The following is a 24555-nucleotide window of genomic DNA, read 5'->3' on the forward strand; positions in this document are numbered from 1 at the left end:
AGGAGGAACCTCCCCTTCACCCTCCCCTCACCCTACCCACCCCGCCCCCTTACCATCAAGAATAACCAGTGGATGAGAGGGGCATGCCAGTGACCTTAGATTCAAGATAAAAGCACGTGACATTCTTTCAAAGCCAGATAATTCTATAGACAAGTTGGAGCTTGGGTGAGCAACCATCCTAGTTTCCCCAGGGCTATTTGGGTGTTAACACTGAAAGTCCCACATCTCCGGAAATGTCTCAGACCCAGCAAGCAAACCAGGAATGGTTCTCCTGCCAGTAGGTCAGGACTTGTGGGTCAGAGGTCCTCCCTGCCCCCAGGGCAGCTGCCTCCTCTCCTGACCGTTGGAAAGGGCTCTGATGCACTGATCTACACCCTGGTTCTCCGGGCTGTGTGTTATCTCTGACGGCAGCCCCTGTGCCGCCAGCCTACCACCGCCACACCGTGTTAAATTTCAACCACAATCTGCTGCCTTGGCTCTTCTTGGTATCTCTAGCCCAACGACAGCAGGCTACTTCCCAAGAACACCGAGAGTTTAGAAAGTTTTTTGTTTTTTTGTTTTAACATCTTTGAGTGATCTGTAAATTTACTAACCTATCAATTCTGATGATGGAGTCTCTTTTCTTTGTTGTTGCTGTTGTCTAAATTAGAGCTATATAATTCCAAAATGCTTGAACATGATATGGCACCAACATTCACTTCACTACCCCAAGCTTTTACCCTCAAGTAAAAGATGAATTCAGGAACATGAGTTTTTTTGTTTAGTTTCTGGTCAGTGGGCATCCTGGTGGGGTAAAACATAGTAACAAGAAAAGGAAGAACATGTAGATGGTCATTGCTTTTCAGGTGCATTGCAGAGGCTTCTCTCTGAAGGGTGACTACAGTTCTATACGGCCATGTCAGTCCACCGGCATTCATTCATTCATTTATTCATTCATTCATTCAACACATATACATTGCTTGGCAAAGTGCTTCTGAGATGCAACCAAAATAAAAACCCTGCCAGGATTCATTATGGCTGTGGTCTCCCTGTACTAAACCTCACATCCATTTTTGTATTTGATGTGTCCTGCAAACTGCTGTGTAAATGGGAGTTTTATGAGCAAATAGAAGGACCTGGCAATAATGCTGCCGTCTTAAGGAATAGAAGAGCCTGTTGTTGCACAATAGAGAGCCAGGAACAGAAATCGGTGAAATCGGCTCCAACACTGCCCCTCCCCCAATACACCCCAGGCACACTTCTGCTTGACAGATGCCAAGGCCTTGATGCCAGGACTGGGTTTCCAAGGCACCAACCCATTTGTAAGGTGGCACTACAAGGATTCCTCAAGTTCTGAATTAATTCCACATAGCAGACAATCCTGCATCACAGATTTGGAGTGCAAGCAACAGAATTTGCATCTGTGAACTCCAGCAGAGGGCCTAGGTGCTAACAGTTCTGGCAGTTCTCTGAGCCATGCAAAAGACTGGGTCATCGAGTTTGGGAATGAGATTGCTAGGGGCCTGAGAATAGGAATGGCAAAATGTGGTCAGAGTTCATTGCTGAGGTGAACAAGTAAGCTCCCAAGTCTCAGAGAGCAGCATCCCAGCCACAGACCGTGCTGGCATGTACCAAGAAAGGAGAAGAAGCACTGGTCCTCTTGCTCCTGCGTAGGCTGGCATGTGGATCCACCCCTTCTCAAGGTATCACACAAGTGCAGGGGCCAGAGGAAACCAGGGGCTGCAGAGGTAAGGGTCAATGTGGGGTGGCCCCAAAAACAGCTCTCCTGACAAAGTTTTGTGGCTTTTTTTGTTGCTAGGCTGCTTCAAGTATCACTCAGGGATGTAGAAGACTGTCTCATAGGTCTTAACTATAACTATCTGAGTCTGAATAATGGCTCCCAAAGACATCCACAAATCCCTGGAACCTGAGAATGTTACCTTACACGGCAAAAGGGACTTTGCAGATGTGATTAAGTTGAAGATCTTGAGATAGAGAGGTAGTCCTGGATTATCTGAGTGGGCCCTTAACGTAACCACTGGGGTCCTTATATGAAGGAGGCAAGAAGGTTAAAGAAGGGATAGCCATGTGACGATGGGGCAGACACTGGAGTGATGGACTTTAAGTGGAGGAAGGGTCCACAAGCCAAGGAACGTTGGCCATGTCTAAAAGCCGGAACAGACAAGGAAGCTGATCTCCCCAAAGCCCTGCCGAAACCTTGACTTTAGCCCATTGAAACAGATTTCAGGCTTCTGGCCTTTGGGAACTGTGAGAGAATACATTTGTGTTTTGTGTTAAGCTACCAAGGATGTTAGAGCAGCCATGGGAAAGGGGTGCTGTTTGCATGAGAAAAGCAGGAAGACAGAGAGAGGAACTGTGTCAGCCTCCTGGTCTGTGGGGAGCCACATCCCAGGAACCCCAACCTCTGCCTTTTGCTGGGAAACATTCTCCCAGTCTCCCAGTCTGAAACACCTCCCTCAAATCCCAAAAAGACAATGGTGGGAATCCTCCAAGGTCCAGCAGAGCCTTGGGACAAGATGCAATCTTTCGCTAGCCCCAAGTGGGTGGGTTCACCCACCCTCAGCTCCAGCAGGTAGGCCCTTCTGAATCTCAGGCTGGCTGAATAGGTTCCAGACGCAGGAGGGAGCCCCCCCACCCCCTCTGGCAGCTGGAGTGTGTGCTGGAGATCTGGGCATGGGCTTGCCCAGGCAAAGAGTGGAGAAGCTTTTATAGGAAAGCTGTAAAAGCAAGCAGGGTTGACCTGGGCACTCCCCCAGTTCCCATGAGTCTGGGGCCCACGACTGGCTCATCGATTGCTTGAACAAGCACACATCAGAGACATCCAGATCAGAATGGAAGCTGCTCAAGGCTCAGATGATCCCTGAGCCACCAACGTTATCCTGGAGGTTCTTATCACAGAGTATGGGAAATGCCATACTGGGCTGTGGGTTTGCAGAAATCCTCCAAAAGATGCAGAAACAAGTCCAGCTGAAAATGGAATGCTTCCTGATGGCTCATTTTGTTCCAGCCTCAACCCAAAGGTATCTATCACAATATTTCTTGTACAATGGGTTGTGCAGCGGGGGGAAGGGAGATGCTTTACAGGCATAGTGTGGGGTGAGGTACATTTCGTAACAGCTCTTGTTTACTGAGATGGCTTTCTACTGACAAAGAAAAAAGTCCCGAAAAGAAGGGGGCCTGTTAATTGTTTGCTTCCTTTTGCTTTTTTGGTTACAACAGTAAAAACTGTCCTTCAAATTTAGTCCCAGAAGACATCAGAGTTTGACAATGACAAGTGGGGAATAGAAGTTCCTGGGCTATCAGCTTCGCGGCTCCCTCCTCTACATGTGGGCTCGGGGACACAGAGCTGGTCCCTGCCCAGTCTCGGAGGCCAGAGAATCAAGTTCTGGGTGTGTGAGACTGATGGGACAGGCTTCCTCTGACCGAGTTGGGCAACTTGGGGCTTTTAACTGCCTTGGGAATGAGGGTGGGTGCCTTAAATGAGGAACTAAGACAGGCCCTCATTTCCCAGCAGGGATGCCGCTCAGCCTGCAGAGTTCCCCGTTCCCAAGGCTTGTGAAGCAGGAGACAAAAGAGGGGCCTTCCTCAGGACACTGTTGTGGGGTGGGGTGCTCACTCGCTCTCCTGTGCCCATGTACTCCTCTCCCCCTCTACTTCCCTCTCTTTGGGAATCCCTATGGGGCAAGTACAGGGAGATGGGAAGAAGTGGGTGGGATGGATCTGGGCTAATGACGAGGGCAGCCTCTTCCCCCCTCGGGTCTCCCTCCACCCTCTTCAGTCCCTAGTACCTGCTGGGACCTGCCTCCTTAATAGGTAACCCCTACAGCTCTCCTCGGCCAGTCTCTGCACACTGCGCCCATGGGTTCCCGATGCCACTGCCCTCAGAACATGCAGTCAGAGGCTCTGGGGAGCTAGAGGTTCAGGTGGGTGTAGAGAACACCACACATATCCTCCCAGGGCAGCCAGGACATCCCACGGGGAGGCAAAGAGGGTCCTGTCCTGGGCTTCCTCCACACTCAGACCACTTCCTCACCTGCCCACCAAGCAGCAGTGTGCATGGTTAATGGAAATTGGCATCTCTTCTATCCATGTGAGGAACCACCAAGACCTACTAGCTAGGTTTACGATCCAGGTTCTAGATACCAGGGGTTAGGAGGGAAGGACCCCCAAGACCTACTAGCTAGGTCTACAATCCAGGTTGTAGATACTATGAGTTAGGAGGGAAGGCCCAGGAGTGCCATTCCCCAGGTTCAAATTCCAGCTCCAAGACTCACCCTGTGTGTGCCCTGGCATAACTCAAGGTGCCCTCAGCTTCCCCATCCTTAAATGGCAAGGTTTCGTACTTGCCTTTAGAGCTGCTTGTGGGGATTAAATGATACCTAGTTGCCAAGGGCTTTGCACCGGCCCTAGTATGCGGTAGTGCCAGTTACAGAGGAGGAAACAGAGGCTCAGGGAGATTGAGCACCTCGACTAAAGAGAGGAGTGGAATTTCAGTCCAGGAGGTCAGGCTGTCTTTCCGAGAGCCGACACCCACCAGCCTTTGGTGGGCTTGAGAACACGTGGGGCCTGCCATCCACGCTGCTGGCATGCATCAGGTGGTGTCAGGTGGGTCCTCGCACAGTGAATCCTGAGCAGAGGGCAGGGGGACGAGGGGGCGGCTGGAGCCCAGTTCGCTTTTGCGAAGCACTTCCTGAACTGCACATTCGGTTACCACAAAATGAGTCAAGGTCCCTTTTAAGTGGCTTGCTGAGCTTCCCTCTGATCTGGCACTGTCTCCCTGGGATGGCCGGCAGCAGGCTTCCCTGACGAGCTGTCAGGCCTGGCACCGGAGCCCCTTCCCTGGGCACCAGCTCTGCACGAGCACCCCTTCACTCTTCCTCATGACAATTCCATGAGGCAGGGGCTGGTCTTGTTTCCACTTTAAGTGGGGAAACTGAGGCTCAGAGAGGTTGGGTGAGTTGCCTTGGGTCACACAGCTTAGTCAGGTTCAGAGCTGCAACCTGAACTCTGGCCTGTCTGGTTCTTAGCTGTTTTGCTTGCTCTTCTGCCTGGCTCATGGCAGTGAGGAGACCCACGCTCACCTTCGCTGCCTGGGTCAAGTAGCTGCCTGGGACCTCTCTATGGACCCATTTGCAAATCAAGGATGGGGAAGTGAGGTTGTGGGGATGAACCATTAGAAGCAACTTCTCATGTCCCAGAAGGAAACAGGGGACTGTGCTTTCCAGGATGAAAATACAAGGGCCCCCTGATGGACTAGTGTCCTCCCTATGGATTGAGTCCCTCTAAGAAATGGGTTGCTCTCCCCACAAACAGGCTTAGCTTAAAGACCTTGTGTTTCCTGGGCAAGAGAGGCACCCACAAAAGGCCTTCACTAAAACCTGGCTTCAGGCCCAGGGCCCTGGTCCGGATGCAGAGGAGGCCTCAGCTGGGAAGGGTCCGTCCTCCTGGGGCTTGGGGGGTGGGGGTCATGCTCTCCTGGAAATGGGCTGCCCCAAGACCCACATGAGTCTTACCCCAGTGTCTCCTTTAGAGTCCTGGAGCAAGAAGGAGGGATTCCCAGTGATATCTGGTGAGTAAGAGAGAAAAGGAAGCGGGTACATCCAGAAACACAAGCACAGTCTGTGAACACCGTCAGACAAGAGGGCCTGAATGGCGCCTGTGGTGATTGGGTCTTTTTGTTTGCTTTTGTTTTTGTCATTGTTGTTTTGAGTCAGTTTAGGAGTTTTTTTTAGTAATGACTACTGGGAAACTCAGAGGGAAACACATACACACACACACACACACACACACACAAACACATGAAAGAACAACAATGCGGGGTGATGACCACGGCTCAACCAAACGACATTTTCATCATCCTGACACATCTTGTTGAAACGGAAACAGATCTGGGCCTAAGGTCCTCACATCATTTTTCCTGATTCTCTTTGTCTGTTTTTAAAAGTAACGTTCAATTAGAGAAATAACGCATAGCCCTCCTTGTAAAATACTACAACGTGATAAATAAGGCTCAAGAACTCCTTGGCTGCTGTCTGGACCGAGGGTCCCTCCCCAAGCCAGCCACTGTGCTCTATTTTCTGTGGGTCTTTGCAGTCTGGGTCGAACTTTTTAAGCATTTCATTGCTACTACTTAGCTTTTGAGAGTGGGTTCAGCGCTCGTGACTGAAGCATATGCTTAGAGAACAGTGTCCCTGAAGTCAAATCTCAAACTTTGCCTCAATGCCTCTTGCCTCAGAAGGGCCCAGAAAGGTCTGAATTGCCCTGAGAGTTTTCCTCCAGACAATAGCTCAGCCTTCTGTGCCCAGCCATGTTTGCAAAACTTTCTCACACACCCCTCAGCTAGTCCTTCACAGTCTAAGCCTAGGCTGCTGGGATACACATTTCTATTTTGCAGATAATGAACAGAAGTCTCCACAGAGTTAAGAGTCTTATACAAAACTACCTACCCTGGCTGGTTTTTCCACTATAGCAGGGACTCCTTTCCTCCAAGTCCCGCCTCCACACCGAGGTCTCAGGTGGCGAGGGCCTTCCAGGCATGAATGTCCCACACCCGTGCTCCTGTCAGAGTCCTCACACTCCCTGACCAAGCTGCCTAAGTTCCAGGAAGCTCTAGGCCTGTGTTCTCCCAGGGAGGGGGGCTTCCCATCTAGTCCCTCAAACCAGGAGCCCGGGGGTATTTGTGAGGTTCTGGGAGACTCTAGGAGACCATAAATACCAGACCTTTAAGCAAGCATGGTCAGCAGCTGGTGATAAAATTGAAGGAAAGAGACACAGCAGCCTGCATTTCAACCCTGCCCTCTCCACACCCTCCAAACTGAGTACCTGGGGTTGCAGGGAGGCAGGGCCACCAAAGTCCCCAGTGGGACCGCAGTGTGGCTCTGAGGACGGAGCTGGATATTGTAAGGTTGGCAGCAACTCAGGCCAGTACTCTCAAGTGGGAACAGTTGGGAAAACAGGTAGAAAGAAAAGACAGCATGAGAATCTCTAGGACGGGAGCCAGCGCAGTCTTCCCAAAGAATATCGTGCAGACATGCTCTGCACACAAACCTTCCCTTCCTAGAGATCCAGAATATCTAGGAAGATTCATGTTCATCAGCATTATGAAAGCCCTGAGAAGTCCTGCAGTCATGGAATAATATAATAATAACGATAATAATAGCCCAAGGTTTTCTAAACTTACTAGTCCAGAGAACTCTTTTCTAGCGAAATGCCTATTGCTGTCTCCCCATGGAGCACATGTTGTGACTGCTGGCCTGGCCCATCTGGGGTAAGGAGCGATGTTGGTCACAGTGCTTCTTAAGCAGCTGTGAACTTCCACAGCCTCACTGCAATGGCCCTGGCCCCCAATCTTACTTCTGATAGGTTAGACAGATGCAATGTCTAAAACCCTCAATTACTGATAACACTTTTAGTGATGACTTAGATCTCAAACTATGGGGTCTCAAACTATGGCCCGTAGGCCAAATCTGGCCCTCTGCCTGTTTTTAAAAATAAAGTTGTATTAAAACACACCTTGGGCCATTCCTCTATGTATTACCGGTGGCTGCTTCATGCTACAATGGCAGAGTTGAGCCGTTGTGATAGAGACCATGCAGCCCAGCAAAGCCTAAAATGTTTACTCTCTGGCCTTTAGAAAAAATGTTTGCTGAACCCTGGCTTAAACAGAAAATCAAAACTCACCTGAAGGACTGGTTCTGTAAAGTCTCAATAGCATGGGAAATTTAGATTTAAAATCTCTGCAATTTGGACCAATCCACGTTCTGCCGTGGTTGTGTTGTTGATGTAACGGGCCCAGACTACAGCTCAAGTGTAGACAAGGGTGTGTGTGTGTGTGTGTGTGTGTGTGTGTGTGTGTGTTCATGGAGAGACTGGGAATAGGAACAGGATGGGGAGGAAAGAGAAATGCTTTATGGCTTAGGAATATTGAATTCGGAGCCAGAGCAGGGGAAGTTGTGCCACCCTATAAGCCTCAGCTTTGGTTGTATGAGAAACCTGGAGATAATGTAGCTGATGGCACAGGGTTGTTGTGGGCAGAAAATGAGCTCCTGTGAGCAGAGCACCTCTGCTGTCTCTAGGAGACTCAGCAAGTCCTGGGGACTCCTCCGCATTTCTTCTTCAGTGCCCAGGGTGCATTAAGTGCTCAACAAACGGGCTCCTATTCGGGAATTACTCAAGCGACACACAATCTTATTTGGGGAACAGACAATATCTGGGCAAGATAAAACTTCCCTCTTTCCTTTCAAGGTTGGACATTACGTGCTAATTTGGGTCATCTCCTGAGTGTGACCTTCAGCCAGCCATTGGTCACCTTACGTGCAAGTAGGGCATGAGTGGCATTCCATGTATAAACCACGTGACAGCTCGGAAAGCAGACGGTCCTGTAAGTGTAACCCACAGACTGAAAATGACCCATGGCAAAGGGCAATGCGTGCATGATTTTTATGCTGGAATTCATGATGGAACATTCTGGATTCCTCCCAGCAAACCTGAGCTGGCCTGCTCTGTTGGGCAGCGAGGTCTGCTCAGAGAGACGCTGGTGTTTATCTGCCACATCCTTTAGTTTTTATTGCACTCAGTCGCCTTGTATATTTAATGAGGAAATTTGCTGAAATGGTTACTAAGCCACAGGGGGAAAAAAAGGAAGGAGGTGGGGAGCCACTCTCCGACCCTGAAGTTGGCAAAGTTGCCTCATTAATCAGACCTGTGCTGGGATACGACGTTATTCATGTTTAGGGCATTAAAACTTGAAGCTAAAATTGTAGCAGGCGGTAATTTGAGTACAGGCAGCCTGTCTCTCTGCGATAGATTTATGATGTTTACTCAACAATGGATGGGAACTTTCAGGGAAAGACTGACCGCCCCCAACCCCCGCCTTTTCAAAACACATTGTCAGGCCACAGTGATCAAGTTCCCGATTTTTGTGTGAGTATGCAGAGCCTTTTTAAAAGTCTTCAGGGTGATAAGAGCAGACTGTATTCGATCTTCTCCATTCTGAGCTCAGCGGAAGTAGGAAAATATGCAAGGCAGATGGAATGAGCTGTCTACCAGGCGAATGGTGGTTGCCATGCTCTCTGACTACACTGCTCTTCCTGAAGTGACCGGTGCAGTGCCACCCCCACCGGCCTTGATGTTGAATCTGGAACATCTGGTCACTGTGTCACCTCATCAGGACCTCAAAGAATTCCCGACAAAAGCTTTCATGTTCCCGGCTGAGGGTCTTGCTTTCCTGTGCTTCAAGGTTACAATTCTTGGAACTGATTGCTGGGAATTTCAGGAAAGTGAGGGTTCCCATTTTCCAAGTTTTCCCACCTCCTTTCTGTCATGACACACAGACAGACGGAGGCCACATCCATCTCTGTCAGTCCAGGCAGACTTTGCCTTCAGGTCTCACATAGCAAAGGAAGAGGCATCAGCCTAGCCTTGGGTCTTGCCACTCAGATGGGAAGCCCTTTCTGTAAGAGGATTCCTTTAAGATGTGGCACAAAGAACATTTATACTGCACTTGGACAGGAAGGCCCCCAAGTGCATGAAAGCACTTTACAGTGTTCATCTCCTCTCCCTGGCACAGGTGTAGCAGAGGTGAGACCCAGTTCTGGTCACTCTGGCTGTTAGCTTTGCTTTTAGCTTTGCCCTGGGCCTGGTGTGTTGGTGATGAATTGCAGATAATACCACCAACCACATAGGGCTGTTTTGCAAACTAAGTTGACATTTTAAGCAGTTTGGTTAAACAAACCAACTTTGAGTATGGGCTCTGCCACCTCCTAAGGGAGTCATTTTGGGTAAGTTACTGGCTCCCTCTGATCTTTATTTCACCATTGTGAGATGGGATGAAGCTATTATCTGCCTCACTGGGCCATTGCTGAGTATGTGGAAGTGCTTTTTTTTTTTTTTTTAAGACAAAATATGCTAGTAGATTTTCAATAAATGTTAGGTTCTATTCTCAATATTATGGAAAGATGCACTTCTTGAATTTGGGGAAGAAACAAAGGAGATTGTATTTTATGCCAAAGTCATAAGCGCTGACGCATATCAAACCACAAATATTTCTATCATCCAGGCTGTGGGGGGATCAACATGTCACCCCATCATGTGACAGTTAGATAAAGGATATGAAAGTCCTGCCTAGAGTGGACACTATAATTTTGTAAGCTTTTCTTTAAGAGGGTCTCTGACTTTTCAGTCTTCTGTGTTTGTTTTGTCATTTAAGTTCATGTGCTGCAACGGATTTAAAGTAGACACTACTTCCCTCTGCCCTGCCCGGCAGTTACACATGAGAATTTTTCAGTTTGAACTAAATACAAGGAATATTAAGTTAGACTTAAAGAAATAGCCCCCAACTTGCAACAAGTGGGGCAGTAAATAAAGGGAGCCCTTTTCTACAGGGGCTGAATGGGAGAGGAGAGCTAAAGGAGTTTGGGAGGTGAAAGCAACTGTAATGATTTATCATCAGGGAAGACTTATTTACCCATGGAAGGAATACTTTAAAATCTACCTTTCTCATAATAAGGTATGCTCATATGCACAGCACAACTTAAATACAAGTATTTATGTAGTTTTGCAAGGAGCTTGCAAGGTTAGAAACACACACACACACACACATTTGAACTATGTTCAGTAACACTACCTATGCAGTCTTTGAAAAACTACTATAGATCATCTGGCTAGGGAACTGTGAGTCTCATCTGTACCCACATGATCCCAAAGAGGAGGGGCCCTGTAGAAACAAGAACCAACCAACAAAAAGCAGTGACAACAGGCACCATGACAACAAAAGGAGTTTTAAAGTGCATCTTCAAATAGCACACAATTTTCCAATTTAAATAGTTTGGAATGAATCAAAGGGAAAAAAGCATTAATTAGATACAACTGAATTTCTCAAAAGTATATTAACACAGCCTACAAATAAATCCTCAAATGTACCACTCTCAACAAATCTTGTATTGACTGACATTCTCTGTCAACTAGAGAGGATGCAGGCAGGAAAATGAATGAAATTTCCATTCTTCAGTGTTTACCTGATGTCTCAGGTTGTTTGCTTTGGGGGAGTGGCTGTTTGCAGGGCTATGGGAATTTGTGAAACACTTTGCTAGTGAAGCCAGCTGAGGCCTTCGGGACCAAATCGCCAAATGAATGACAGAGGATCCTTGCAGTAGCTTTGTCTGTCTGCAGAGCGGACTCCTGTGAGTGTTCATCACATTTAAAGAAGTAACATGCCGGGAGAACGGAAAAGGGTGCTAATGATTTACAAGCGAAGATAAGATATTATTAGGAGTACGAGGTCAATCAGATAAAGATACCATACACACAACTTGGACTTGGGCCCATTCTTTAATTTATTCTGAAAGGAAGAGGAGGAGGAAAGGATGGGGCCTGAGAGTGTTAGCAATTGGCTTCCCGCAAGCTGCCTGTTTTAACACTCCTTGTGATTTATTTCAATCTCATCTTTTACAAAGGTACGGCAATTTGTTCCATTTTCCTGCTTCCTTCTCCTCTTCCTCCTTCTTCTAAGATGGCAGAGAGAAACTTTCTTACAGGTCCCAGCAACACTGCCGTATAGCTTAGAAGACTGGAGATATTTATTCTCAATGTCCTCAGTTTACTTTGCAACTGGAGCATTATTTGAAAGACGGCCTGCCAGCATTCAACTGAACAGACACAAATGCAGGTATGAATAGTGAGGGGAGAGAGTGGTTTGAAGGCTGGGGTTGCTGTCAGGTCTGATGAACCCTCCAGCACTCGCCATCATCGGCTACAATGTTGAGGAGACTCCATCACAACCTCAGATCAAAAGTGTTTCTTTGTTCCTCCAAACCTTCCAAAGCACTTTATGGACCTTGTATTTGGACAACACCTCCATGAAGCTTGGAAGCCAATAAGTCACATCTTCATTGAACAATTCATGAAATTACAGGGCAGACGTGAAATATGACCTTCGAGGGAAAAGCTGGCGGTGGAGCCCAGAACTTCATTTTGCTGGGATGGTTCCCTGCCGTTATTCTCCTTTCTCACGAAAGGATCCTGCAGTCAATTTACGGCATTTGTAAATAAAGGCGGCTGTGTCAGCCTCCTGCCTGGAGAAAGGAAGGCAGCACCTTGAATGCTGAGAGTGTATCTCAGGCTTACTCTATACTTCCATTACAATATCTCAGAAGTTATAACAGATGAAGATGGGGCGAGGTGGTCAAGGTAAGACCGGGGTCAGCAGGGCAATGGCGTGTGAGGAGTTTCTCATTAGAAAACACAAATGGGGATTTGGATTGGTTGTTTTTCTTGTCTCAGAAATCTTCTTCAGAATGACCTCCCCACCCCTGCTTTGTCTTTGAAAGTTTTGCCATGTTTGAATTGGCATACTTACACATTGTAATGATTTTTCTTCCATCAATTAAAAACAAAGCTATTTTTTGGCCAAGTGTCTCCTGAAGCAAAGTTAAGAAACAGAATAAGAAGGTTTTGAGTCACGCACAAGACTGAAAATTAGCTAATAAAAACCCTTTTCCCCCCATTTCCTCAAAACTCAGTTCTCAGAAAAACAATTCTGGATGCACCCTGTTTACCAGCAAGGTTAAAAGTTCAAGAAAAGAAAGACATCACAATATTTACACTCAGGCAAATCACTGTTCATCTACCGCGTCTGACCCTGCAGATTTGGGAGCGGGCCGCTGTCCTGCCTGTCAAAGGGAGAGGAAGCAGTGTCTGTCTGGCTGGCCCTATATTTGCTCCTGTTGTCTCACTCTCTGCCACCAGTTTTGTTTTTTGTTGTTTGTTTGTTTTTGTTTATTTGTTTTTTCTAAGACTGCCGGCATCCCTTCTTTCTAGATCGTCTTGTCTTTCTTTTGATATTTTATTTTCATGGATAAGATCGCTAGGACCCCATCAGAGTATTTTTCTGATGGCACGATGCTACTACTTTCTGATATATTTATTTCATTCTCAATATTTGAATCTATGAAATAAAATAATAGTGATAATAGCCACCATTTATTGGGTTTGTGCTTTGTGCCACGCATCATGCTGAGTGGGTTTGCACATTATTGCAAAGATCCCTCTGTGCTGCTGGGGTAGGTGTCATTCTCCCAGTTTATGGGTTTGGAAACCAAGGCTCAAAGAGCTCCAACAACTAGCAGGAGGCTAAGCAGACCAGACCTGGGCACTTCTCCACTTCCTTGGCCTTCCAAGAGGGGCCCCAGCACTGGTCTTCAGTCTTCAGACCTAGGTCATTCTTGCCTCAGGGAGAGACAGATCAAGGAAAGTCAGGTGGTTGTTAGCTAACAAGAGCAACGTTCTTCCAGAAGGGCAACAGGTGAGGGCCAGGGCTGAGGGCCATGCGGGCAGTGGGCAGGGAGCTCCTGCTTCTGGAGGCCAGGTGGGCCACCCCTCCACCCATCAGCATCTTGCAGCCAGGCAGATCCCTGTGGAGGCCCGACAGTGACAGAAGGAAAAGCCCCCAGCAGCCTGGAATTGGCCTCACTGAGAGTGTCTCCAGGGAGAAACATACTGGGGATGCCAGCAGCCCAGAAGGCTGAAGAGGGAGCTCATCACTTCTCCATCATAGTCACTGCACACAAAAGTTGGAGCCAGAAGCATCCACAAGTGCCCCTATCCAAGCAGGGCAGGAGGAAGGAAATCCATTCAGTGATTCCTCCCTCCCAAGGCCTGACTATGCAGTAGGAGCTAGCTGGGCTAGAGAGACACAGCCAGGGCCCATCCTCAACAGTCAGGGTGCTGGGTGGATCTGGTCTATGCTTGCTGCCTGTGGGCCTGAGGCCCCGTCCCACACAGCAACACCATTGCACCCAGTGGCTTCCCAGTGCAGCCATAGTGGATGCCCAGGGACAGACAAGGGTGAGACCCTCCTCCCCACCAGCTCCCAAGGCACAGACATACCGCAAACATACATACTGCATACACACAGAGGCTTATCCTGTGGTGGTGCCATGTGGAGCCATGCTTGAGTCTGCAGTGGGTCTGGGAACAACCACAAACAAGCTCAGGAAGCACACATGGCATCACATGTCACCTATAGCCACTCCACACACCAACACACATGCACACAGGTACCAGCATATACCCACCGCACACACCCACACACATCACAAACACCTCACTCCATATGCAACATATGCAACCCACCCCCAGCCACACACAATGCACATGTACCACAAACATACATACTGCATACACACACGTGCTACAGAACCCTACTCTCATACTGCACACGTCATACCCACATCCAGCCACATCACATACTACATCCATGCACACATCCACTAAGACACCCACACTTATATCCGCCCATGCATTCCCGCACACCATACCACACCACACATGCAAACACACAGGCATGTATGCACAAGCATACACACATACCATAGATGTGCACTCACAGATGCACGCAACCACCCCACGTGCATACAGGCACCCATGCACCAGACACCCCGTGTCCTCTTCTGCACCCACACCTGTGTCACACATGCAGGTACACAGAACCCATATGACCATGTCTCACACCCATACCCACACACCCCGAACACACACATGCTTGAGTGCACACTTTTGTTCTCACCCCCCCATGGCTGACTCTGCTTCTAGTAAGGCAGCCTTTCCAGAACTGTCGAGGAACTGCCAAACACCCTTTCTTTTAGAGATGACCGTGTGTTGAGGAGTCAGTGTTTGTAAAGCAACTTCTTGGGGAAATATAATAGCAGATATAAGGTAATATAAGTGAGGGTATCCAAGCCAGATAGGAATCATCAAGCAAGGGCACGCTCGAGAGTGAAAGGCGGAGCTGAAAGGAATTATGAACTCATTTCTAATAGGCATGGACAGGACCACCTTGAGTGAACTTGGGTACATGGTCACCTCGCCTACAGGGACTAGGGACAATGCTTACAGAATCAGTGTGTCTGCTGCCTATCAACCCTCTCGGATATAAAATAATGGGATAGGAGTTGGTGGCGAGGGCTGGAGGTAGAAGAGTCGTAGTTTTTGATGGTATATTTTCCTGATTTGTGCATTCCCTTCTCAGATTCCCTTCTGGCAGGTGGAACTCATTTCTCACTAATGTCCTTGCTGCATGTTGGTGATTCTCAAATGTTCCATCCCCCGCTCCATCCCCCTGGAGTCCTGCCTGGGGGCCCAGGAGTCCCTGTCTGATGTTTCCACCCTCTGACCAGTGCCTCTGAAGAATAAAGACCGAATTCACTCCTCTAGCAGGTACTCGGCACCTAGCTGAGGCGAGCATAAAGAGCAGAGCTAGCAACTGTGACAGCCCCCTGGGATCTTGCTGAAATGCAGATTCTGGTGCTAGGGGGTCAGCGTGGGGCCTCTCCCTTTTTGACCCAGCAACATCTATTTATTTATTTATTTATTTATTTAAATTTTTTTGAGATGGAGTCTCCCCTGTCACCCAGGCTGGAGTGCAATGGCATAATCTCGGCTCACTGCAACCTCCACCTCCTGGGTTCAAGTGATTCTCCTGCCTTAGCCTCCCAAGTAGCTGGGATTACAGGCACACGCCACCAAGCCTGGCTAATTTTTTGTATCTTTAGTAGAGACAGGGTTTCACCATGTTGGCCAGGCTGGTCTTGAACTCCTGACCTCGTGATCCACCGGCCTCAGCCTCCCAAAGTGCTGGGATTATAGTTGTGAGCCACCGTGCCCAGCCACAACATCACTTTTGAGTAGTGGACAGTTTTCAGAGAACAACATCCACCCTCATCCCAGCCCATGTGGATCCTCACACAGCCCTGGCGGGAGGCAGGGCCAATGGAAGCCACCAGTGTCCCCTTCTGAGGAGACTCCAGTGGGGTCTGCAGCAGGAACGGATGCCAAGCGCTCAGCACCCATCAGTCAACTTCCAGTCGCCCTGTTTTCAGCCATTGTCTGGTGTCACCCTTCCCAACTGTTGCTTACCATTCACAGTCCTTTTTAAGGAAGAATGACATTTGATTTTACACACCTACAAAATACAAAATGGCAGCATAATAGAGGGATAGGGAGAAGCTCACTGCTCTGGACTTAAATATGGGATGCAGCATCACATGACCAGTTTTGTGATATGGGAAAAATTGATTGTCCTCACTAAAACTCAGTTTTCTTAACTGAAACAAAGAGGTGATCACCTTGCCTCTGGGGCCTGCTATGCGCACTGGAAAATAACATTGTAAACCACCAAAAATGTCTCCAGAGAAAGCTAGAACCTTAGATGGTAGCTGGGATGATTATAAAGGTGCATATGTATTAATCCATCTATGTAGACAATCATCACTGAACACACTAAGTACCCTAGACCTGAGTAGAGTGAGGCTGAGGTTCATGCGGGAGTGAGGGAGAGGGAACTGAAATCTACCCCATTCCAGCATGGGCACTCAGGACAGCTTTCAAGGTCCTGCTAAGTCACGTAAAGCATGAAACAGACCATGATTCCAGCAACAAGAGCATCATGAGGGGTAGGTGGATCTCTAAACGGTAATCCAGGTCTTGCATTGGAGACAGCAGTCCTCCCTAAACACCTGTGAGGCAAAGCCAGCTATTCCTTCCCATGGACTCTCTTCTACTTGCTTCTACTACATAAAAGCAAATATGACTCAAAAGTACTTTAGTTTTAATAAAACAGACATTTAAATCTGGAAATTTCAAGTAGAGCCATTTGTCAGAAAACCTCAGCAAAAATAAGCATGATGCAGCTTGTCTAGATCTGAAACCCTTGCCGCTTTGATAACTAAGTTAAAGAACTCAACACGGGGGTAGGCTTAGGTGAAGCCAGATAGGGCTGTCTCAGCCACAGTGCATTTCTGAGCCAAGTGCTCACACACGGAGCAGGGGAGGAAAGCGGAGTGTTCCCACTAAGTTTCATCTCCACCAGGTTAGTTTTCTCTTCCTGCCGTTTTTGATACCGTGAGAACATGTGGATCCAACAGCTTCTCAGGGGAAGGAGCTGCCTAAAGCCCATGCCAGAGAGCCCACATGCGGCCCTGTCAGCCTGGTCGTGGGCACAGAGCATGTGGGTCAATCCCATTCTTGCTGTAGTTCAAGTATGTGCAGATCTCACTTCAGACAAACTTGCAAACATCTTAGAGATACTGGAGAAAAAGGGAGAGAGTCTGGAAGGCTGGGAATAAGCAAACACCACCACCATTTTCCAGAGGAATGGATTCTAAAAACTACAGAAGAACAGACTTCCTCCAAGTTCCAAGAAAACCCAAAAGAGACACGAAATAAGGCTCACAAGCTTTTGGGAAGAAATTGGTGGTCTCAAGGAAGCAACATAAGTTCTCTAAGAGAAAGTCATTCCATGCTAACCTCATTTCCTGTTTTGACGAGCTTCACCAGAACAGTCGATTAGGGGAATGCCCCAGAAAGTGTGTCTTGATTTCAGTAAAGCCTTTGAAAACCTCTCACCCTATCCGATCTAAGATACAAAAGATGGGCCAGATGATGGTGTGACCAGGAGGACTTGCAATTGGCAGGACACTCATCTCCAAAGAAGGCCACCTCCTAACTCATGGAAGTCCTGCTTGCCTTTGCTCCCTTTGCAGCTGCTGCAGACAGCCAGGCTGCTCCTGAGTCCCCAGTTGGACAGACAATTCCGTGCTTTCTGCCCACAGGCAAGTGTGGTTTGAAATGACTCTCTGCAGCTCTACCCATGAGAAGGTTGGGGACCCAAAAGTGAGGATGTCAGCCTAGCGTGGTTGGTTCTGCACAGGGGACATCCTTTGAAGTGACACAGGACTTTCTTCATGGAGAGCCATGGGACTCTGTCCTGTGTTCTGTCCCATTCACCATTTAAAAAACACCTTGGAGGTTGGGTGCGGTGGCTCACGCCTATAATCCTAGCACTTTGGGAGGCTGAGGTGGGTGGATCACGAGGTCAAGAGATCAAGACCATCCTGGCCAACATGGTGAAACCCACCTTGGAAAGAGACATGGTAAATGAAGGCATATTTACCAAATTTGCAGAACACACAAAGCTCTGAGGAAGAAAGGGCCCCCAAAAATTTAGGCACAAGGTTAGAAACCTGGGATGGAACCAAAGAGAACAAATGTGAAGCTCTAGTGTCTATTAAAAACACAGTCCACTGTAGGATTAAACATCTATGTCAATTTGCTTCAAGTTGTGCCACTAAGTACTTGAGTGTGGCCAGGGATGAGAGAACAAAACCTATACTTTTCAATGCCTTCAGCAATATTAAGCTCTGTCTTAGGGTGTTAGACAGGCTCTAAAAAGCCCTCCCTTCCTTATCTTATGGCCTTGTTAGGAGGACAAAATAAGTCAGAGGTGGTAAAGTGCTTTGAAAAAGGGAAAGCTCTGAAATTCAAAATAGTATTATTATTTGTTGTAAGGTGCTTTCCCTCCAACAAAAAAAGAAAATCTGGCAGTCTATGAGTGATAAGCAGAAAGTGATTCAGCTTTGGTTCTAATTCTCCATCTCTAACCCCAACGAGTTGAGTTTGCTGGGTCACCTGACTAAATCCGTGACCTCCGAAAGGTGGCACTTCTAGCGCTCTGCTTTTCCAAAAGTCTCATAAATTCTTGGATTACACTAATTAAACAATAATTTAGAAAGCTCCTTTCTAGGACTGGGTCTTCAACGGTGCAAACTGAGTAAACCAGCAGAATGAACACCAAAAGACTGAGGTCTGGGCCTTAGATTTTTACAGATACAATCATGCATTGCTAATGAGAGGGATACAGTCTGAGAAATGCATCGTTAGGCAATTTCTTTGTGATGCGAACATCACAGAGTATACTTACACAATCCTAGATGGCATAGCCTACTACCTGCCTAGGCTATATGGTATGGCCTATTGCTTCTAGGCTACGCACTCGTACGGCATTTCAGTGCACTAAATACTGTAGGCAATTGTAACACAACGGTAAGAATATGTGCATCTAAACATGTCTTCACACAGAAAAGATAATGCATTGTGCTACAACATTATGACAGTTGCAACATCACTAGGTGATAGGAATTTTTCAGCTCCATTATAATCTTATGGGACCACTATTGTATATGCAGTCCATTGTTGACTGAGACATTAGTGAGTGCATAACTGTATTTTCAATGCTTTTCAATCCTACAGTGCAGTGCTTTGAAAGTTTGTCACCCTTGCTGCTGCACAAGCCCTGGCTTGAAACATAGATGAAAAATATACAACAAACCCAAGACAGGAGGGCTTGTTAGTGAAGTTAACAGACAGAATTACCTTAAAGTCCCTTCAGGATCAGCAGGATTTCACTCGGCAGTTATAGGACTCCAGGTTCCCCTGGACCACACTAGCCAGTAGAACTTCCTGTGACCGTAGACATGTTCTGTACCTGCACAGTCCAATATGGCAGCCACAAGTCACATGTGGATATTTAAATTTAAAATAAAAAGGAATTTAAAAATTCAGTCCCTTGGTTGTACAAGCCACATTTTAAAGGTTCCATAGATATCTGTGGCTAACAGCTACTACATTGGATGGTACGTTGAGAGACCAATGTTTCTCAGTCTTGGCTATGCATTGAAATTACCTGCAGAGTTGTAAAAAATACGGATGTCTACACCCCCTCAATCCCCAGATTCTGATGTGATTGGTCCAAGTGGATCCTGGGTGTCTGGATTTTTTATAACATCTGGGTAATTCTAATGTCTGGCCAGGGTCAGAACTATTGCTTTAACCATCTAGAATTGTGTGGTCACTTCTCTTTTGCTCTTTCTCCTAATATCCTTGTGAACTAACTATCCTGCAGGCATCATATGGGTTACGTCTGGTCCTCCCTGCACCTGTGACTTTCATCTTTTTGAGGTCATAAATAATCCTGGGGGTAAGACTGCGAAATGGGTAGAGAATGTGGTTTCATCCTGCTCAAAAACGCAGAGGAAGAGTGATCACTTGGGTGGAGATGTTCTTCCCAGTGGAGCCCCTTGCACCTGGGCAAGGGTGTGTCCAGAGGGGCCGGAGTTAGGTGAGTGTGAGCAACCCCTGGGGCAGGCTGCCAGCCCACAGTTGGGCCTGGCTCCTCACATCCTCAGGAGGACTGTCCCTGATGCCCATGTTACCCTTGTACACTGCCCTTGCACATGTTACCCTTGTATACTTCCTTCTCTTCTGCTAGAACCTAGCCAGGTAGAACCAGCAGAAACTCAGGGCAGGGTGGAATCTTTGTATTCATCTCATCTGATCTTCTTAGTGTTCTGCTGGAGAAAGTAGCATCCAGAGACGCCCAGCTGAGGCTATTTCCCTCCACAACACAGTGGTCTTTATCTTCCAGGATGGGGGCAAATTACGTAAACTTTAGGAAGTTCATCAGCAGGGCAAAGCTTGGTTTCTGATGAGAACCTGACTGTCCAGACAGTAGAGAGTTCACAATCACCCTTTTCTGCTGGGTGATGTCCCAGAGGAAAGCCTGGGTCCTCACCCTAGTGAGGCCATTCACCAGACTCAGATCAGTTTCCTTATCCACCAAACATGGTCAGAGCACTGGGCTGCTCAGCATCTCGGTGTGCCTGAGAAGTAATAAGAGGATGAACCCAGTCAGCACATAGTTGTTGATGAGGCTCGGATCTCAAACGCCGGGGACAGACCGGGAAATAAGACAGACCACAGTCTGCCTTTTGGGAGTGGAGTGAGAGACAGACAGATGATAATTGAACATTCAGGATAAGTGCTGATAATGATAAGTCTATGAATAAAATAAAATAAAATCACAAGATAGAGAGAAATGGTGGGGAGGAAGGAGGGTTCTCTCACGACATGGTGCTCAGGGAATTCTCCTCGAGAAGGGGACATTGGGTTGAGACCTGGATATGCATTGCAATGAACACTGTGCATGTACATAGGGGGTTTTGTGATCACCATCATGGCCTATTGGTAAACGAATTCCAACAAGTACAAAAGAGTAAACATGGTCATTTAAAATCATTCTTAGATGTTTGCTAAGCTTAAAAGTGAAGATTGCCAGAAAGTTCTGGAAGGCTTCTACTAATGGCCTGTCTGGCCATGTCCTCAGGAGGGGGTCAAATTGTCCTGCTTGAGGTTAGGGAAGAGAGTGGGATTACACAGCAGGAATGCTTCGACATTTCACCGTTTTATAGACTGTTCAGGTGCCAGTCCCAGAGTGTCAGAGTTCAAGAAAGCATTTAGGAAATCGGGGCATCTAAGTGAAATGGGACGGAGGCATCGACCATGATGAACTGTGCACTGCACCCAACACTTCTTCAGCAGAGCCCACTCAGACTTGGCTAGAGGTGCTGGGTGGGGACCGGGGCTGAGTTGGTCCCATCCACTGTTTTGTCTCCAGAACCAGCACACAGCAGGCCCCTAAGAAATCCTTATGGGATGAATAAGTGAAGCAGTAAAGGATGTGTGAGGGGAGGGAGGCAGCAGAGATGGCAGATGTCTCTAGTGGAAAGCCCAAGGTTAATGGAGATCTTGGGGTCACAGTTTACAGGCCACGATCAGGGTGGGTGTGGAAAGAGGCTTCCAGATGAAGCCTGACGTTTCTCTCAAATGTCAGTCTGCCCACACTGACTCTACAGCAATCTGGAGAGGTATGAGAAGCAGCAAGACAAGCGTGGCTGAGTTATGAGAGAGTCAAGCCCAACACACATTTAAACATGTCAGATGAGCTGTGTGGACGTGCCAGGGTTCCCTCAAACACTATTCGATATCCTTTCAATCAGCGTTTAAAGATAGCTAATAAGCAAACAATTCTGTTTTCTTTAGTTTTGCTTTTAATGAAGGACAAGGGATTAAGACACACAGAGACTGGCCAGACAAATGGGAAACCGACCAGACCAGCCCATGACCAAAATATCACAGGCAGACCACCCGCAAATGCAGAGGCCTCAGAGTCCACAGTGGGCAGTTGGAACCAGGCCCCAGGGAATCTTTCAGCTGCATTCCGGCTGTGATCGGCGGGCAACAGGTAGAGGTGCTGGAGGGGGATGAGTCGTGATTTTCAGTGTCTGTCATATTCGATCAAGTGTGTCATAGAGCTTCCTGTTTCATCTCCCAGTTATTCTGAAACAAAAACATGCATGAAAAACACAGGTCACTGCCAACCACACTGACAGTCGCTCTAGTACATGGAAACTGAAAAGGGAAAGACATATCATGAATGCCACAATAAGCCAGAGAATCAAATTTATCAGCATCTATTCAAATATTGGCAAGCAACAAACATTGCTGGCGGCAATGGTGGTGCGGGACATGGGGTGTCCACATAAACAGAATTCAGAAGAGACTGAAAAGGCAGATGTTCCCAAAAGCCTGCTGCTTTGTTTGGGGCCAGCCTGTGTGTTTATTGAAAAGTTGATTCAGTTCTGACTTCCTGGTCAGGGTCTGACTCCTGATGGGCCCTGAGGCTCTTCCCCTACATGCCCCTGTTGACTTGGATGAAGAGTCACACAAGGACTTACAGGATGGCACAGGTGTTCGCCCAGGTGGTGCCCTGCACTCCCCTCTCCAAAGGCCCAAAGAGACCCAATGAGAGATCCCCGTGGAATTCCAGCCCAATGAGGTCCTGAGACTCCCCGGGAGACATGGCCTCCCAGGTGCATCAAATAATCACAATACACCTGGGCCTAGCAGCCTCGGTGAGGTAGAGGGAAGGGTGGATAAGAAGTGGGGCCCCTGACCAAGCAAAGGCCCTGAGGACAGCACAGGACTGACAGCAGCTCCAGAAAGACTGTGATTCTGTTAATAACTGCTCTGCCGCTTGAGACCAGCATGGTCTGGCTCACTGTTTGCAGAAAATCATTCTCAGTCTCCCAAACAAGTGAAAGGATACTTCCAAAGACAGACAGAGGGACGGTAGAATCAGAAATACAGATGGCACCATCTTCCCAAAGTCCATACTGTAGCCCCACAAAACCAACTTCATGCTTAAATCTGCTGCTCAGACACACTTTGGGGAGAAAGCAGTTTTTCCAGGAGTGAGCTGGAGACAGCACTTCCATGGGAGGGAGGTCAAATCCAAGACTACCCGCTATTTCCAGCCATATTCACTATGGATGAAGAAGGGATGGCTCTACCCATGACCGTGCAAAGCTTCCTTGGGAACCCTGCTGTCCCTTCCACATGCAACCTGTCCAAGATGCAACCCTCAGTTCACCATGAAAACCCACTGGCCCTGCCGCTCCCCATTTCCTTTGGTTAATATTAGGCACAAATTTTTCTGTAAAATGAGATGAAGGCATGTGATTTTGGAAAAGCTTCATCCTTCCTCTTGAGATTCATTCACAAGATACAGTAGCACACAAAATACCCAGAGAAGTTAAGAAATAAGAAAGCTGTTTAAATTATTGTGCACTTCCCAAACATATATAGGGCATAACATTTTTTGCACACTGGCCTTTGCTGGCAGGGCTCTGCTGAGTGGTGTTAGGAAATGTGGCCGAAGGCAGGCTGCCCAGCCTGCAGGGCCTGGCGGAGCTCTCCTCCTCCTAGGGTCTCTTGCAGTGCTGCAGGCCAGGGAATAAAGCTTCTCCTGACCCCGTAGCCCTGGCTGCCAGGACATGTGGTGATTATGACAGTCTCTATTTATCTTTTGAAACTCTGTATTGTTTCCCCCCACCCCCAGTATCTTTCCCAATGTCTTGTACAAGTGAGTTAACGGATCCATATAAACTCCTACAGTCTTATCTGTTTTTTCCTTAAAGGCCTCATTGGCTAGTGACAGTGAAATACCGAGCTTCCTGAGCCTTGGCGAACCTGGCCCCATGATTCCTACACATTCTGGGAAGAACACTGCCCAGATGAATCTGTTGGGAAAGCCAGCTTCCCGTTTTGAGTCCTATGAGCTAGCATTTTCTAATGTGGCTTAAAGTCCAGCATCTGGGCCCAGGATTTCATACGCAGTGTCTTCCTGGGTGGGCAAAGAGAAACAGGAACTAAGTAATGCATCAGTGGCCTGTAGGGGTGGAAGGGGAAACCTGGTTTCTTTAGTTTCATCACTGAAATAGAGAGGTGGTTTACCAACCCGTGCCCCTCACCAGTTACCCCCACTTTTGAGTGCAATGAAAAACCAAAATGTAATAGCCCAGGAGGGCTACAGTATGGAACACCCAACCATGTGGACCTTGGGCCAAAGTCACAGAGTGAGAGGTGGCCGGCCCTTACGGATCATCCAACCAACCCTTCACCTTGCAGGTGAAGAAAGCAAGGCTCACCGAAAAAGGAAGTTGGCAACCTTCCCAAGGTCACTCTGGATGGGACACAGCTGGGACCAGGACCTGGGTCTCTCCTACCTCTCCTACCTTTGGCTTCTGGCCAAAGCTGAGAAGACCCTGAATTCCAGTTCTCCACTGAAAGGCCTTGTCTGGGAAGTTTTGCATGGATGAATCAACTCCATGTTGGCCTGGCTGTCTAGTTATCACTGAATAAACCCACGACAGTTCATCTGAGAACTAAAAGTTTTGCCCCTAATTCAGGGCCGATCACACACATGGCTTCCTAGATGCCAGTGTACACTGGGAGTGGGTGGAGACCACCAGCGCCACTCCGGTGTTGAGGCAACCCTGAAGAAGCATCTAGTCACAGACAGGGCCACTCTTACTCTTTGGCTTG

General features: G+C 47.8%; 1 long non-coding RNA gene across 8 annotated transcripts in view; it reads right to left on the bottom strand.

Moving 5' to 3' along the window:
• MIR4435-2HG (MIR4435-2 host gene) overlaps nucleotides 1-24555 on the bottom strand; it is a 299296-nt gene that overhangs the window by 211747 nt on the left and 62994 nt on the right. The window contains exon 2 of one of the 8 annotated variants that reach the window (NR_024373.2): nucleotides 21697-22008. The exons of the other annotated variants lie outside the window; for them this stretch is intronic. This is a non-coding gene — a long non-coding RNA (MIR4435-2 host gene). Of the gene's footprint in view, nucleotides 1-21696; nucleotides 22009-24555 lie in introns of those variants that run through there. 8 annotated transcript variants of the gene reach the window in all.

Source organism: Homo sapiens, chromosome 2 (genome assembly GCF_000001405.40).
Source record: "Homo sapiens chromosome 2, GRCh38.p14 Primary Assembly".
Taxonomy (NCBI): Eukaryota; Metazoa; Chordata; class Mammalia; order Primates; family Hominidae; genus Homo; species Homo sapiens.